Here is a 16238-nt window from a genome sequence, read left to right on the forward strand (position 1 = left end):
TAATTGTAAACATTAGCTTGTGAAAGAATTCTGTTTCATATCCACAGTAGAGGTCATTTTCCTTTTTAGGGACTTTCTTGATGGTAAATGTACAGCAGTTGATATTATCATGACTGTGAATAGAAATGACTGCTGAGAAGCAGCACGGTGAGAACAGGTTCACACTTCCTGCCAGTGCTACTGAAGACTTTTTGTACTTGTCCACTCTGCTCCTACTAGAAGTCAAAACTATAGGGCCAAGTGCCTCACTTCATTGGAGAACTACATCTTCTCATAGTACTAAATGTAATAAATATATCTTTAGAGATTCTGAAAGTAAAATGTGATGTTGAATATAAAGCTGTACTTCTTAGCATTGCATAGCTGTATTTTCTGTGTTAAGTACAGCCAGCAAAATTTGTTTGCTAAAGCTAATTCTTTACTGAAAGGAAACTGAAAATTTAAACATGAGTACATAGAAGGATGGACTTGAAATCTTATATACAGTTTTATAGTTAAAAATTAAAAGAGGGCTTCACTGTTTTCTAAATTTATTTTTCCCATTGTTGTAGGAGATTCTGTCCTTTTATCTTAGTGATGTGGGTGAATTATTTAGTTCCCTGATTTGGCTAAAGTTGTTCATGACTTGCTACCTTACCCATGAATGAAACTCTGTGCTTGTCAAGGAAGCATGAGTGCCAACTTGAAATGCCAAATAAATGTCAAGCTAGTCTTTTCCAATTTGCATTTTATTTTGCTTTTATGACACTAAGTATCTAATTTTCTAATTTGATTATCTTCCTTGATTAACTTGGTCATATTTTTAAATTTGATGTAAGATTTAAACCTTAGGGCTATCCTATCCCTAATTACTCTTTAAAAGATCTCTTTTTAATTTGATTACAAAGAAACTTGAAATAATTATACAATAACTATTATAAATGGGACTTCTGCTTATAATCCTTTTTTTTTTTTTTTTTTTTTTTTTTTTTTGAGACGGAATCTCACTCTGTCACCCAAGCTGGAGTGCAGTGATGCAACCTTGGCTTACTGCAACCTCCACCTCCTGGGTTCAAGCAATTCCCCTGCCTCTGCCTCCGGAGTAGGTGGAATTGCAGGTGCACGTCGCCACTCCAGATGATTTTTTGTATTTTTAGTAAAGTTGGAGTTTCACCATGTTGGCCAGGCTGGTCTTGAACTCTTGATCTCAAGTGATCTGCCCGCCTTGGCCTCCCAAAGTGCTGGGATTACAGGCATGGGCCACCATGCCTGGCCTTCTGATAGTCTTGTTTCCTGCTTTTTATTGCCCTTGTCTGATTTCTGATGCTTGCATGTAAATTTTGGGGGTTTTGTTTTGTTTTTGTTTTTGTTTTTGTTTTTTGAGACGGAGTCTCCCTCTGTTATCCAGGCTGGAGTGCAGTGGCGCAATCTTGGCTTACTTCAACCTCTGCCTCCCGATTCAAGCGATTCTCCTGCCTCAGCCTCAGGAGTAGCTGGGATTACAGATGTGCCCTATCACGCCCGGCTAGTTTTTCGTATTTTTAGCAGAGATGGGGTTTCATCATGTTGGCCAGGCTGGTCTCAAACTCCTGACCTCAAGTGATCCGTCCACCTTGGCCTCCCACAATGCTAGGATTACAGGCGTGAGCCATCACGCCCAGCCGCGTCTAAATTCTTGTAGATTTGTTTCATTCACAAAATCTGATTGTTGATTTAAAGAGCTAATATGCTCTCTTAATGTTCCTTTTCAGTCATGATCTGCTATTTTTAAATGAATTTGTAACTTGTAGGATGAACTGACATCTTTAAAAGAACAACTAGAAGAAAAGGAATCTGAAGTAAAAAGGCTACAAGAAAAATTGATTTGCAAGATGAAAGGAGAAGGGGTTGAAATTGTTGATAGAGGTAAGAAGATATATTTCACATTTATCATCTCATTTTGTTAAAGTCCTCCAAAATCTGTAAAAGAAACCAGTGATAGTCAATGTGTAGTTTTAGTATCAAAGAAAGAGCAGCAGAATCCAGCCAGGCCCAGAACCACAGGGGATTCTCTAAGACTCTTTTCTGTGACTGGAAATCCATTAACTTCCTCTTCAGCAGCTGGAAAAGGGGAATTCTATACTTTATTTGGTGTTTAAGATTACTAGACTGTAAATTCTCATCACAAGAATGGACTTGTCTCAATTGAAATGCAAGGGAATTTATGCCAAAGGAGTTAAAAAGAACCATCCCTGTGTCCCGGGATCGTTGCCCTCAGAACTGAAATTAGATAAAGTAAGGGACTTTGAAACTGTTCTGTCCTTTTGAGAGAAGAGAAAAATGGCTCTGTATCTTTGGAAAAATTAGTAAAAATTTTATACCAGGGATTGAGCCCTACACCTTTTAGAAAGCAAAAATAGGCTAATTCTGTTTTTGGAAAAATGCATGAATTTATCCAGTTTTTTTCATAACTGAAGAAGTTTGTTCTGAGTATTATATGGACCATCATTTCTAATAAAGTAGGTTTTACATGATAGAAAATAGCCTGAATGAAATTTTTTAAAATTATATTTGGAAATATAATGTGCATAACATCTGGCGACACTAAGGTAAATTTAACCTTTCTTTGTAATTATGAATGATGACTGGCACTATGAGATACCAGCCATGTTCTGAGCAAGAACATGTGAAGGATAGGCTAGCATTCTGGAAAAGATGCCATAATGTTGATGAAGTCAGCAGAACTAGACAGCAGAACTTTATGATGATCAGTTTACTCTTTCTTCCCAACTTCTCTAGCAAGGATTGTCTTCAATCTGGAAATGACAGAACAATCACCCTTTAAAATAAGGAAGTGCAATTCAGTGAAGACAGGTAAGATAGTAAGAGAGCATTTAGTTACATTTTAAAATGAAATCATTAATTTGAAAGGGTCATATATACCCATGGTAAGAATGTAAGCCAGAGCTGGCAGCATCTCTGTCCTACAGAGAAATCCTGTCCCTGGAGTAGGATTGAATGAAGCCAAGAAACTGAAAAAATTGCAGATGGGGCAAAGAAAGAGTCCTGGAGACTCAAGTCCATTAGATTGCAGGACCATTCGTGCCCTTTTAGATTTTTTTTTTTTTTCTCAACTGAGTTCCAATTGAGTTTTTTCTTTTAGTAAAAATGCCTGAAAAAAATAGTAAATTTATAGATGAGAATTCTTATGCTCAGAGGGGTAAAGCAACTCACCCAGGTTACAGGCAGGAAGCAGCAGAGCCAGGTTTCTAAGTGAGGTTTCTCTGAGCCACAAACGTGTTTCTCTTTCCATTTTTCCTCTATTGATCAGTAGTTTTCTATGAATCTGTTGTCTAATGAAAAGTACCTAGGTCCTCTAGGAGAATCCTCCTACTGTTATTGTTTCTAATTATCTGTTCATCTTTCAGTTAGAAGAACATCCATTCTTATATTGATGTCTTGTGGCAGAATGTGAATTTCTGCCTACAGTGCCCACAATGGCATCAAACCTATTATTATGTTCAGGTCAAGATTCAAACTCACAAAACTACCATAGACCTCTTTGGCATCAGATTCACTCAGAGAAACATGGGACAGGGCTGGGCGTGGTGGCTCGTACCTGTAATCCTAGCACTTTGGGAGGTCATGGAGGGCAGCTCACTTGAGGTTAGGAGTTCGAGACCAGCCTAACCAACACTGTGAATTTTTGTAAAAATACAAAAATCAGCTGTGCATAGTGGCAGGTGCCTGTAATTCCAGCTATCGGGGGCTGAGGTGGGAAGATCGTTTGAATCTGGGAGGTGGAGATTGCAGTGAGCCGAGATCGTGCCACTGCACTCCAGCCTTGGTGACAGAGTGAGACTGTCTCAAGACAAAAAAAAAAAAAAAGAAGAAGAAAGAAAGAAAGAAAAGAAAAACGAAAACATGAGACAGGAACCACAATTAACTACAGGTGGTGTCAGGTGTCCCTCCAAATTATGCAGCTGCCCAGAGACAACTCAAATGCATGAAGGTGTGATGCATATGAGGCAAGTGCAGGAACCACCCTGAATTAAGGTCTCATTCCCTACAGGAGCCAATATCACCTGTAACAAACTTCAGATGTGTCATTTCTGGCATCACTACACATACTCAATTAAAACAGTCAGCACATTCAAGGATGCTAGAAGCTACAATCTCCATCAGATATTTATGGTGCATTTATAGTTCCTCCCACTCCAGATGCAATTTCCAATCAGAGATCCTTTTTATTATAAGCAATGTTGCTGAGTAATACTGTTAACATAGTACTCTAATCTGGTTCTAGGGGAACAGAACTAGAATGTTAACTAAAGCTAAAATTCATACACAGCAGAGAAAAGATTTTGTTAACTCTTAACCCAAAATGCCCCACTGATAGCAGGTTTGGCTATATGGTTTGCTTTAACCAAGGGAATGCAAGAGGAGGTGACTTACACCACCTCCAAGCAGAAGGCTTGTGAGCCATTGCATGATTCCACTCTTATTCCTTTCCCTCTGCTGTGAGACAAGGGTAGGGGCAATACCTTCAGCTTAGGTCTCCAATGAAATGAAAAAGATATTTGGGGAAGAGCCATAGAACAAAGGTGTAATGGATCCTCAGTTGTTATGAAACCTCCAAGAGAGAGAAACATTAATTGCTGTAAGCCATCACTAGTCAGAGGACTGGTGTTTACTGCAGAATAACCTATTTCTGATTAGTACATCCCTTTTGGAAAGATATAGGCTGGGTTTATCATTCTCCTACCAGGAGTCCAACTAAGCCAGCTAGCCCTTCAGTATGTGACAGCCTTAATTCTGGCAAGAATCCCCAATTCGAGTCTGATGGAAAGTTGTTTCCTCTTATCGAGCAGTTTTGATGTTAGAACAGTCCAAGTAATGCCTGAAGAAAAATAATGTATATAGATTATGATGATTTATTGCTCTAATTTGTCTTCTCCTTTGTGTACTCAGGGTTCAGTCAAGAGACAGGAACTATGCAGAGTTACCTGAATACATATAATTTTTATTTTTTATATTTATTTATTGAGACAGAGTCTCATGTACTCTGTGGCCCAGGCTGGAGTGCAGTGGTGTGATCTTGGCTGACTACAATCTCTGCCTCTTGGGTTCAAGCAATTCTTCTGCCTCAGCCTCCAGAGTAGTTGGTACTACAGGCGCCCACCACCATGCCCAGCTAATTTTTGTATTTTTAGTAGAGATGGGGTTTTGCCATGTTGGCCAGGCTGGTCTGGAACCCCTGACCTCATGTGATTGGCCCACCTCAGCCTCCCAAAGTGTTGAGATTACAGGCGTGAGCCACTGCGCCCAACCAATAAATATAATTTAATATAAAGAATTGTCAACAGGCCAGACACTTGAACCCAGGGTGGGGAGGGTGGAGGTTGCAGTGAGCTGAGATTGAGCCACTGCACTCCATGCACTCCAGCCTGGGTGACAGAGTGAGACTGTCTTAAAAAAAAAAAAAAAGAATTGTCAATGAAATATAAAATTGTCAACCTGGTAACCAAAAAGGTGAAAAGAAAAATCTAAGATGTTACAGAGGTAGCAACTGCAGGGAACTCTTAATCGCCTCTAGGTCTGAGGGAACAAAAGTAAGAGGCTGGAATTCTTAAAATGTAGAAACTTAGAGGAGCAGCGGCATGAAGCTGAAACTCAGACATCTGAGGAGAAAGGTACTGCTCAGTTGGTGGTGTTGTCTCTGAGTTTGGAGGCAGTGTCTCTTGGAGCTGGGATCTGTCTCTGAAGAGGGGTTTGGTGCTGGTGTCTCTTGGTGGGGAGGTGGGGTGCAGTCCAGTTATTTCTGCAGGTGGTAGGGAAACTGAAAACTGGATCCAACTGCTGCTATGGTGAAGCAGAGTTAATAGGGTGCCAGTAGCAAGAACCACAAGCAAACAGGAAGCTCACAGGATGAAGTGTGTCCCTCCTTCCTCTTCCCACATTTCAGTCTCCCTCTAGCCCCCCTATCATCAGAGCTTAACAGAGAGCCAGCTAGCAAAGCTGAAATGGGGTGTGGAGAGACCCAGCAAACCTCACTGATCAGTGCACGGGGGCACCTGGCTAAGGCGTGAGTGAGGGCTGTGGTTCAACCTGTGCTCTCCTTGTCAAGCGCTAAGTCCTTGTGTGGGGCTATGTCAGCCAGGAGGAAGAGGCATCTTTTTCAAATTCACACAGAGGTGTCATGTAGGCTAGCATATGCACTGATGCAAGGATCATTAATAGTCTTCCTTCCATCTTCTAAATAGCTCTGAAGAGCATGTATCTTTTTTTTTTTTTTGATCCAGGGTCTCACTTTGTCACCCAGGCTGGAGTGCAGTGGTGCAATCATAGCTCACTGTAGCCTTGGCCTCCTGGACTCAAGCCATCCTCCCACCTCAGCCTCCTATATTCGGGAGCTGGGATCTCAGGCATGCACCACTATGCCCAGCTAATTTTTGTATTTTTTGTAGAGATGATGTCTCACTATGTTGCCCAGGCTGGTCTCAAGCTCCTGGGCTCAAGCCATCCACCTGCCTCAACATCCTAAAGTTCTGGAATTGCATGCGTGAGCTACCGAGCCTGGCTGAAAAGCATGTATTTTTATTGTAATATTCCAGACAAACTTACATGCAACCTTTTGCAATTTCATATATAGCCCTCCCTTATGTACCATCAAATATTTATACAGATTTGTTTGAATTGGTTTCTGCATTCTTCCACCGATTCTCTTGCTACTGGCACCGCGGGTGCCGTTTTTTATATGCAGTGTAGGTTTAGTTCTCTCCTTTCTCATATTCTGGACTTCCAACTATGCAACCATAATAAGTCTTTACTGCTTCCACTGGCCTCTTTCTTATTTTTCCTTCCGTTGTCTTCACTAGAGTTGTGTTAGGAAGCAACTTTGCTCTTGGTCCTTGTCCCTTAGGCAGCCTTAACATATTCTACAAAATGTTCAACATTTTCACTAATGATCTATATGAAGGCTTTGAAGAGATTATTTTTAAGTTTGTTGATGACACAAAAATAGGAGGGTTAGCTAAAATGAGATTCCTAATGATCTCCACAGACTGAAATGCTGTGTTGATAGCAAAAATATGAAATTTATGAGATAAGGGAAAAAGCCAGTAGAATTTAAAATAAAGATAAAAATTAGAGTAAAATAACTGAAATAAGACAAACCTCTATTTTTTTAACATAGTACCAATATGATTTATGTGATAGTTTTAGAAAAGAATCATGCCATTTTTGTAATAGCCACACAATAGCTACTCAGGGTTTACAGAATTTGATATTTGACAAAAATTTGAATCAAATAATAATCCAGAAATAGGCCAGGGGCGGTGGCTCATGCCTGTAATCCCAGCACTTTGGGAGGCCGAGGCCAGCAGATCACTTGAGGTCAGGAGTTCAAGACTAGCCTGGTGAACATGGCGAAACCTCATCTCTACTAAAAATACAAAAATTAGCTGGGCATGGTGGCGTGCCTGTAATTCCAGCTACTCGGGAGGCTGAGGCAGGAGAACTGCTTGAACCCAGGAGGCGGAGGTTGCGGTGAGCCAAGATCATGCCATTGCACTCCAGCCTGGGATGATAGAGCAAGGCTCCATCTCAAAAAAAAAAAAAAAAAATCCGTAAATAGATCATTAATTATAACCAAGAAAAAAGTGCTGTCATTTTTGCTTACTCAACTACTTCATGAAAATCCTGAGAAAACCCAGTAAATTATATAAAAATATAGTTATATGTAGGTATACAACAAAATATTAATGGTGGTTATCTCTGGTTCAGGATTGGTAAGTTTTTATTGTATTTTACTATTGAAAATCTTATTTTCTCTATAGGACATGTATTTGCTTTGTAATAAGAATAAACTTTAAAAAAATAAAAAGAGGCTTGGCACAGTGGCTCACGCCTATAATCTCAGCACTTTGGGAGGCCAAGGTTGGAGGATTGCTTGAGACCAAGAGTTCAAGACCAGCCTTAGGGACAAAACGAGACCCCATCCATACAAAAATTTTAAAAATTATCTGGGCATGAGGCATACACCTGTAATTCCAGGTGTTCAGAAGGCTGAGTCAGGAGGATTGCTTGAGCCCAGAAGTTCAAGGCTGCAGTGAGCTATGATTTGCACCACTGCACTCCAATCTGAGCGACAGTGAGACCCTGTTTCAAAATAAATAAAAGCAACAGATAAAAGCAACCAAGTAAAAAGGGATCAAATATATTTGGAGTTCTAGGGAAAGTCTGATATAAAAGTATTTTCTGGCTGGGCATGTGGCTCACACCCATAATCCCAGCACCTTGGGAGGCTAAGGCGGGCAGATCACTTGAGCTTAGGAGTTCAAGACCAGCCTGGGCAACATGGTGAAATCCCATCTCTACAAAAAATACAAAAAATTAGCCGGTTATGGTGGTGTGTGACTGTGGACCCAGCTACTCGGGAGGCTAAGGTGGGAGGATCGCCTAAGCCTGGGAGGTGGAGGCTGCAGTGAGCTGAGATCACACCACTGCACTCCAGCATGGGTGACAGAGTGAGACCCTGTCTCAAAAAATAAATTAAAAGTATCTTCTTCACAATGATTTTAAAATAGTACTAAAGCAACAAGTAGAAATAAAAATTATCTAAGTTGTTCCATTTAATGAAACATAAGTGAGTAGTAATTTGATATATAGTTACAGATTTCCAAAGAGGGTGAAAAAGAATAAATTGGAATCTGTAATAGCAATATTGTGGAATAGATTTGCAAATAAGAATCAATGAAACATCTTTTTATATAGAAAATATTTGAAAAAGATAATTTATTTGACAGAGAAACAAAATGGCGAAAAAATGCTGAGAATTTTTTTCACTCTTTTTCTTACTTAGATACATGGAAACAGCCAGGTAACAAAAAAGTACTCTGTATAATGCTTCGATGAGATATGCTAACCATTTTCTATGAGAAAAGAAGAAACACTTTTGGTCAGAAAATGGGTTCAGATGAAATTTTGTTCTGCTCACCTTTAGAATTAATAGTGTGGTTGGCTTCCTGCAATGTTTTTATGAAAGGAAATTAAATCTTAGGCTCAGCCTCATTTTGGTTCTTGATGCCTTGTTTTGTTTGCCCAGGGAAGCTCTCCCTGTCCCCTACTCTAAGTGAGGGTCCACTCTCTGAGACTGTTCTTTTTTTCAGAACATGAACCTCAGTTCATAATTCTGCCTCCGCTAATGTGATCATTTGATTCATACCTGAGTACCTCATTTGCCTATCAGCTCCATAAGTGTGTGAGCTGTGCCTGTTCATGCTCACCATACGTGGTATCCCTAGAGCCTAACCCAGTCACTGAAACATCGTAGGCACTCCATAAGTATTTGTGAATCAATACATAAATGGATGAATTAAAAATTTAAAAGTAAATAATTGGAATGGATTATGGAGACAGTAGAAAAAACTTAGTTAACTTTTTAGGTACTGTGAGAGAATATCTTTAAAATGTTTCTTGTGGATTTAGCAGAAGATAAAAGGGCAATAAATTTAAGGGGAACTGCATATGAGAAAGAATATGAAAAACTACCAATCTTCCAGAAAAAAAAAATCTGGTAATTTCCTTACATAGAGTAAAAGAGTTTTAGTACTTTCTATTCTGAGTTCTATTTGAATATTTTTCTCTTTTTATATGGTATAAGAGGGCTGTTTTCTTGAGTAAAATATTTTATTAACCTAATATCGTTGGTTAATCAAATGTCTTCATAGTGTAAGATTTGAAATAGAAAGCCACGTTGAGTCTTTCAATACATAGAGAAGCTAGATTACAAGAGAAAGAGGCTTTGCCTCACTTTTTTCTTTTTTTTAACCTCCTTGTAGTTTTCTGGGCTGTCTTTACAGATTTTTGGTTCATAGATTTTCTAAGTAAGATTTTTGACATATTATATATCTTTTATTCAATACTTCTAATAAGAAGAAAAAGATACCCTTTCCTCACCGTCTTACAACTTTGAAAAAAATACTGTAAGATTTCCACTGTGGTGTGAAAAGTTTTATTCACTCTAGAAAACTGGGTCATCTTCTTTTCAGAACCTTTTTTTCTAAATCTGAGAACAGATTTAAGGAAAGCAAAGCAGAAAGTTTTCAATAATCCAGTGGGAATTCCTCTTAGAAGCAAGAGAGCTAGAGAAGATGATTGCACAGACTTAGCAAGGTTAAAACGGGTATTTCTAATACGTGAAAAATGTGTGAGTTAGAAGGTTAACAGTTGATTCGACAAGTGGCAGAAATGGGTTTTTTTCAGTTCTGTTGGGGAACAAAAATCAGACGACATCCCTCAAATCTGTACATTTTAAACATATCAAATTATTAGTTTCCTGTTGTACTGTATTTTGGCTCTTAGGTTTATGATTCTTAGTATGAGAGAGGAAGGATAATCTTCAACATAGTTAAAAAAAGAAAAAAAAGGAGGAACACGCAAATATTTTGCTTAAGCCTGAGATGAGATTGGAAGAAACCAACAAGTCCGTTTGAGGATAAATAAAGTCACACTTGAAGAAGGGCAAAAATCAGAAGTGACCTAATAAAATCTCCCTAATAACAGTAATGGTAAGGTGATATTATATATAACTTTTCTCTCTGGCTCCTGGAAAATTTATCCAATCTAAGTAGTTATCTATCTTGCCTCACAAATAATCCCTTAAAACTTTTTATTTCTGTTACTTGCTAGATTCAAAAAACATAATTAAAAATTATTTTATCTGTAAAATATCTACCTCAGTTCTCAAATTTAGTATAATGAGTTGTTTTAAAAGTCAGATTACATAAGACAAACCAACACTACACTACTTCTCCACAACTAATGTACGATAAAAATGAGAACAAATGATTAAAATATATAAGCTGATAAATGCAAAATTGTTTAAAATACCTTTTATATCTTATGATATCTAAGGCAATGGGTTAAAATAGCTCTTCCTTGATAACTTTGAGGTTAATGAAAATTGTGATTATATTTAATTAGAGGAATTCAGTATATTTCTTCATTTTCCTTAGAGATTTCCATGGAAAGAAAATAAATTTCCACGATCATAAATTTATGTTTTTATTAAAATTCTTAATTTCTTTTTATTTATAAATCACAAATGTTCTTGGAGACAATTTAGAAGATCTAGATTTAAAAAAAAAAAAAAAGAAGAAGAAAATAAAAACCACTCATCATTTCATCACCCAAAATAACACTGGGAGCATTCTGGTATCTATCTGTTTAGACTTTTCTTTTGCCTTCTTCTATAATACATATTGTTTCAATAAAAATTAAATCATAATGTACATTATTTTATGTAACCTGCTTTTTCCACTTAAACACATATTGAAAATAAATTTGTATTTTACTTTTTAAAATTAAATAATATTTAACAATTTGTTTATTGTTGGACATCTAGATTGTTTATAATCTATAATGAAGATACTTATTATTATTATTTTATTTATTTATTTTTGGAAACGGAGTTTTGCTCTGTCGCCCAGGCTGGAGTGCAGTGGCATGATTTTGGCTCATTGCAACCTCCATATCTCGGGTTCAAGCAATTCTCCTGCCTCAGCCTTCCTAGTTGCTGGGACTACAGGTGCACACCACCAAGTCTGGCTAATTTTTGTATTTTTAGTAGAGACAGGGTTTCACCATGTTGGCCAGACTGGTCTCAAACTCCTGGCCTCAAGTGATGTGCCCATCTAGGCCTCTCAAAGTGCTAGGATTACAGGTGTGAGCCACCACACCCAGCCTGAAGATACTTATTACATATGTTATTTATATAAACAGCATTAAAAATCACGAACAGTTTTTTTCACTAAATTTATGGGATATAAATCCTTCTGATTTTGGAGAGAAAAAGCAAGTCAGGATTAGACTTAGGTAAAATTTAATTTAGCAACATTTATGTAGTAATTCCTGCCAAGCACTATTCTAACCCCTTTAGAAATATTAACTTATTTAATCCTAATAACTCTCAGAGATATGTATTGTTCCTATTCCTATTTTACGATGGGAAAATGAGGCACAGAGAGTTTAGGCAACTTGCTCATTGTCATTGTCATAGGTAGTAAGGGGTAGAGCTAGTCTTGCATCAGGCTCATACTCTTAACCATTCCCTTACAAGGCCTCTTTCTGTTATTTTGGGTAATCTGTGAAGTGGGGTTTGTGAAGTTAATTGGGAAGCCTGGGGAGTACCTCAGAAAGATAACTTGATAGGCATTAGGAAGGATTTTGATATTAAAGGAACCTAGAACTTCTCCGTAGATCAGGAACAGAACACTTGGCTTATTTTATTAGAATCAAAAACAGAAAATCATATCTGAGGATTGGTATCCTTCTCTTTTCAAATCTTTTGTGATTTTCTAATGCAGCATTCCAAAATATAATGATTGTGCAGAATGTCATTTTTAAACTTTCTTCTATCATTTTCCTGTAAAGAAAATCTACTGAATATAATTCATTTAATGAGAAAAAAATTATAAACTGCATTTACAGTGATGTACTCTCTTAAATGTTTGCCCAAAAGTTTACTATTTAGGCTTGAATAGAGTTAATCCTAAGAAATCCTGTGCTCATATAGAAGCAACGACATAATACTGTTTGTTTTCCATCAAAGTCAGTGAATATAAAGATTAACTTAAAAGCAGCTGTCCTAAAAGCAACCTCAAAATACGCAGTTAAAACCAGCGGAAGACCTGGCCCACTGTTACAATGAAACATGCTCGGAGGAACTAAAGAAAGCTCCAAGTACAAAACTCTTTAGAAGTCTCCGGGGTTGCATGGCAGGCCTATTTACAAGAGGGATTAGTTGTTTTGAGGAAGAACAAAGGCCCCTTCTTATGCTCACTGAGGCTGCTCTTCTGTGGGAAATTTTGCTGTTACAGTTACAGGGACTGGAGTTCTCAACACTGTTTAAAACAAGCAGCACTATCGAAGGAACATACCTCAAAATAGTAAGAGCCATCCATGACAGACCTGCCGCCAATATCATTCTGAGTGGGCAAAAGCCGGAAGCATTCCTCTTAAGAACTGGAACAAGACAAAAATGCCCACTCTCACCTCTCCTATTCAACATAGTACTGGAAGTCCTAGCCAGAGCAATCAAACAAGAGAAAGAAATAAAAGGCATCCAAATAGGAAAAGAAGTCAAACTATCTGTCTTCCCTGACGATATGATTCTATACCTAGAAAACCCTGAAGACTCTACCAAAAGGCTCCTGGAACTGATAAACAACTTCAGTAAAGTTGTTTGGATACAAAACCAATGTACAAAATCAGTAGCATTTTTATACACCAGTAATGTTCAAGCCAAATCAAAAATGCAATCCCATTTACAATAGCCACAAAAAATAAAATACCTAGGGATACAGCTTTAACCAAGGAGGTGAAAAATCTCTAGGAGAACTACAAAACACTGCTGAAAGAACTCAGAGATGACACAAACAAATGGAAAAACATTTCTTGCTCATGAATTGGAAGAATCAATATTGTTAAAATGGCCATATTGCCCAAATCAGTCTACAGAGTCAACACTATTCCTATCAAACTACCAACGTCATTTTTCAAAGAATTAGAAAAAAACTATTCTAAAATTCACATGGAACCAAAAAAGATCCTGAATCGCCAAAGCAATCCTAAGCAAAAAGAACAAAGCCAGAGGCGTCACATTACCTGACTTCAAATTATTCTATAAGGCTGCAGTAACCAAAACAGCATGGCACTGGTACAAAAACAGACACACAGACCAATGGAACAGAATAGGGAACCCAGAAATAAAATCATACACCTATAACCAATTGATCTTTGACAAAGCTGACAAAAAGAAGCAATGGGGAAAGGACTCCCTTTAATAATGATGCTAGGATAACTGGCTAGTCATATGCAGAAGAATAAAACTAGATCCGTACCTGTCACCATGTATAAAAATTAAGACTGATCAAATATTTAAATGTAAGAACTCAAACTATAAAAACCCCAGAAAAAAAATCTAGGAAATACCATTCTGGACATCAGCCTGGGCAAGGAATTTATGGCTAAGACCTCAAAAGCAATCACAAAACCAAAAATTGACAAGTGGGACCTAATTAAACTAAAGAGCTTCTGCCCAACAAAAGAAACTATCAACAGAGTAAACAGACAACCTACAGAAATGGGAGAAAGTTTTCACAAACTATGCATCAAACAAAGGTCTAATATCCAGAATCTATAAGGAACTTAAACATGTCAACAAGCAAAAAAACAACTCCATTAAAAAATGAGCAAAGGACATGAACAGACACTTCTCAAAAGAAGACATACAGGTAGCCAACAAACATTAAAAAATGCTCATCATGACTAATCATCAGAGAAATGCAAATCAAAACCACAATAAATACCATCTCACACCAGTTGGAATGGCTATTATAAAAAGTAAAAAAATAATAGATGCTGACAAGGCTTCAGAGAAAAAGGAACACTTACACATTGCTGATAGGAATGTATTAATAAATTAGTTCAGCCGCCATGGGAAGCATTTTGGAGATTTCTCAAATAACTCAAAACAGAGCTACCATTCAACCCAGAAATCCCATTGCTGAGTATATACCCAAAGGAAAAGAAATCGTTCTACCAAAAAGACACATGCACTTGTATGTCCATCACAGCACTATTCACAATAGCAAAGACATGAAATCAACCTAGGTGCCCATCCATGGTGGATTGGTTAAAGAAAATGTGGTACTTATACACCATAGAATACTATGCAGCCACAAAAAGAACAAAATCATGTCCTTTGTAGCAACAAGGATGCAGCTGGAGGCCATTATTCTAAGAGAATTAACACAGGAACAGAAAACCAAATACCACATGTTCTTACTTACAAGTGGGAGCTAAATATTGGGTACACATGGATACAAACATAAGAACAATAGACACTGGGAACTCCAAGAATGGGGAAGAAGGGAGAGGGGCAAGGACTGGAAAACTACCTATTGGGTACTATCCTCACTACCTGGGTGAAGGGGTCAGTTGTACCCCACACCTCAGCATCATGCAATATACCAGTGTAACAAGCCTGCACATGTACCCCATGAATCTAAAATCAAAGTTGAATTTTTTAAAAAGAAATAAAAATAGGTTGTGTTAAAGAAAAAAAAAAACTAGCAGCACAACACGTAAAGTTTAATTCTGACAAGTTAATGAGCCTAGTCACTGGTGAACCAAGAGAAAGTGAGGGATTCAACCCAGCAGTGGAACAGGGGTAGGACACAAACAGAATAAGTGACCCATATTAGCAAGGCATATTGCATTTTATCACATCACATCATATTTTAGATCTAGTTGCCTAACTCAGAGGCAACTATAGAAAAATTAAATTTGTTAAACTGAAAAGATTATTTTGCTAGATTCCATTGCCAGTTTTGTTTAGGGGAAGATGAAACCTACCTCAGATGTATTCCCTCGTTATCACTGAAGAGGACCATTCTGGAACCTCCCTATGCTGCTAACGGGGTCATGGTGTGGTTTGAGTCTCCAGTGCACATTGGAAGATGAGGAGGAGTCTGGGTGGGACCATGAGAGGGTTTTTCTACCACTTAGCAGACAATTTCTTCCAGTCCTAGTTGCTGTCCTCAGCAATCATTGAGTTCACTAAGCGTAATTTAAAGAGCCAGACTCATTCAGTAATCTAAAAGAAAGGAAGAGACAACAAGCATCAGCCGAAAGACTCTAAAGAAATCAGACTTAAGTTTGATCAATGTAACATTATGGGTGGTTTAGTTCCACTTCTGTGGGGCTGAAAGTTTGATTACATGGCAAACACGACAAAGAACAAGCTTGGAGAATCTGTGGAGTTGTTATTGCTTGGTTTTGTTATTTGAGGATTCTCTTTCTAAATGTAAGACAGTGAAGTGACATACTCTGAACACAGACCTAAATTTACCCTGTAAGTGGCCTCAAAACGAGAAAACTCAGTCTGAGAACTGGTGAACTGAAAACCAACATAGGAGAAGAAGGCGCTCAAGAACGCATCCAAGCAAATATTTTCAAAGACGTTTTTATTACTGTTACTTTTTCAAAAACAAAAACAAAAGGGAAGAGGATCCTTCTGTTTACTCAATCACTCAACAAAAATTTATCGTCAGCTAACTGCCCGGAACATCAGAGGTGAGTAAGACAGGTCCCTGCCCTTATGTCCTTTAGAGTCCCTGGGGAAGCAGACTCTGTCAGAGACCTGCCCTTCCTGTTGTGGCCATCTCTATCACACAGAGCTGGGTCCTGACTTCTGTTTGCCGTGTAGGTTTTCA

The 16238-nt window shown here is 38.0% G+C and overlaps 1 pseudogene; it reads left to right on the forward strand.

The window, feature by feature from the left end:
* LOC124902904 (liprin-beta-1-like) overlaps nt 1–16238 on the forward strand; it is a 98657-nt pseudogene that overhangs the window by 45644 nt on the left and 36775 nt on the right.

This window comes from Homo sapiens, chromosome 12 (genome assembly GCF_000001405.40).
Source record: "Homo sapiens chromosome 12, GRCh38.p14 Primary Assembly".
NCBI lineage: Eukaryota > Metazoa > Chordata > Mammalia > Primates > Hominidae > Homo > Homo sapiens.